This window comes from Homo sapiens, chromosome 18 (genome assembly GCF_000001405.40).
Source record: "Homo sapiens chromosome 18, GRCh38.p14 Primary Assembly".
Taxonomy (NCBI): domain Eukaryota; kingdom Metazoa; phylum Chordata; class Mammalia; order Primates; family Hominidae; genus Homo; species Homo sapiens.
Window position 1 is genome coordinate 55,214,173 of NC_000018.10, and position 2,242 is coordinate 55,216,414.

At 43.7% G+C, this 2,242-nt stretch overlaps 1 annotated feature.

Annotated features, from left to right (window-relative positions):
- Nucleotides 242-828: an enhancer, noted in NCBI's record as "NANOG hESC enhancer chr18:52881645-52882231 (GRCh37/hg19 assembly coordinates)". NCBI's record gives its function as "activates a minimal SCP1, AML or CMV promoter by ChIP-STARR-seq in naive H9 embryonic stem cells {active_cell/tissue: H9 hESC(naive)}" and the evidence as "EXISTENCE:reporter gene assay evidence [ECO:0000049][PMID:30033119]".

Genomic DNA, 2,242 nt, shown 5'->3' on the forward strand with positions numbered 1-2,242 from the left:
ATACAGACATTGAACTGTAAATTTAAAGCCCTGAGCTCATCTTTTTCTTTTCTCCAAGTTCTCTAGCACAGTTAGAAACAGTTAACCAACCCCATTATATTTCTTATTTTGATTACAATGTTTTATGCTGTGAACTATTAATACTTAGTCCACCAGAATCTTGACTTTCATCAGCATTTAGTTACCAGCTATCTACAAGGAATAATTTGCATAACTGTTTCACCATTACATGTCATCAGATATGATCCACTGGAAACAGGATCATTAACGCCTTTGCATCTAATGAGGTCAGATAATTGATTCCAGAAAACTCAGAACCAATTGAGAAAATTCCTCATTAATATTCAGCTTCCCCTGGGCACTCTCAGGGCAGCTGGTTAAGCCATTCTCTGTAAGGTTTACTGTCTTTGAACCTGAAGCCTCTAGTCCACAGGTCAGAGCAAGGACAGCTGGAATCCACAATCATGAGCTACAGAGCAGGATAGACTGAACCAGGTCAGCTCTTGTCTCTGACCTTGATGGTGTGGATGCCCTGCCATCAGCCTCCCCACTGAGCCCAGCTCACCTAGGGGGAGAGGGAGCTTCTAAAATGCAAATCGCATCAGATCACTACTCTGCTTAAACTCTTCAGCAGCTCCCAGTGCCCGAAGGACAGTCCAGACTCCTTACTGGTATGAGGATCCCTCCTCCTCCCATTTCTCCTTCCATTGACACCAGGCTCCCTATTGTTAGGCCATTTGGAATTCCTTGGTGTTCCAAGAGTGGAGGAGTCAGTGTCACACTTTATTTTTTATTTTTTCCTTGACTTTTTCATGTATGGCAATTTCATTCTTTTCCCCTAAGATTAATTTCAATTTCAATTGCTGTTTTCAGAGTGAAATCTCCTCTGACATCTCTGCTTCTTCCCCAGTCCCTAACTCCACTGGTGTTGCGCTTCAGTACTCTCCAAGCACCTGGGGCTCCTCTCCACTAGAGCACATTCCAATTCTTTCCCATCCCAGCCCTCTCGCCGCAAGACTGTGTTCCTCCCACCCTAAGACTGTGTCTTCTCCCAAGACTGTCAGCTGCTTAAGGGAGGGTTAGATCCTGATCACCTTTGTCCACCCAGCCCTTCCTCCGCAGGTGCTAAGCAGAGGTTTGTGGAATGAATGCACATTTGATGTGTCTGTTTACAAGCTGCGGTGACCTTGCTGAAGACGATGCTAATGGGGGCACCAAATGAAATATTTCTCCTGGAAAGTTCCCTGGGCAAGTTGGGAAGAGAATCTGCTTTTCCTCCTGGCTATGCCAAGTGCTGTGTGGCCTCCAGGAATTCAGAAAGAGAAACTTCCACATCGTGTTAGGTGCTGGCAGAGAGGATAAATGAACACATCTTCATTAATTCGTTTCTGCCTATTGGGTGCTTCGGGGATTAACTCCTCATGAGCTTTTCAGGAAGGAGATGCCCTCTGTGGGCCAGGGCCTGTGATGCCTGAGCTCTTGTATTTACCTTTGCTTTATTATTTCCTTTAGAAAGATTTTGGTATTAAATGGCTCTGCATTGAAATCTCTCTCCCGCTTTTTTTTTTTTTTTTTTTTTTTTTTTTTTTTTTGAGATGGAGTTTTGTTCTTGTTGCCGAGGCTGGAGTGCAGTGGTGCAATCTCGGCTCACTGCAACCTCGGCCTCCCGGGTTCAAGTGATTCTCCTTCCTCAGCCTCCCGATTAGCTGGGACTACAGGCACACATCACCATGCCTGGCTAATTTTTGTATTTTTGGTAGAGATGGGGTTTCGCCATGTTGGCCAGTCTGGTCTCAAACTCCTGACCTCAAATGATCCACCCACCTCAGCCTGCCAAAGTGCTGGGATTACAGACATGAACCACTGCACCCAGCCTGAAATCTCATCTTGATCACTTATTGGAAGCATGATCTTAGTACCTGATCTAATGTTTCTGAGTCTTGTGTTTCTCTGGAAACCTCATTGAACTGTTGTGAAAAATAAGTTGCTTATGAATTCTAGCATTCATCTCATGCAGCAAAATTTTGGGCCCATTTAATGATTTCAGGATCAGGAGTCAGATGGCTTAAACTATACTCTTATCCTTCCCTGCCATTTACCTAACAATCCCTCTAAGCCTCAACTTTTTCATAGGTGGTATGGGAATAAAAATAATACCCAGCCAATAAGATTATGTGGTTAGATAAAACAATATAGCAACTGGGTTTAGAAGAGGAAAAATGTTATCTTTTATTATTGTACT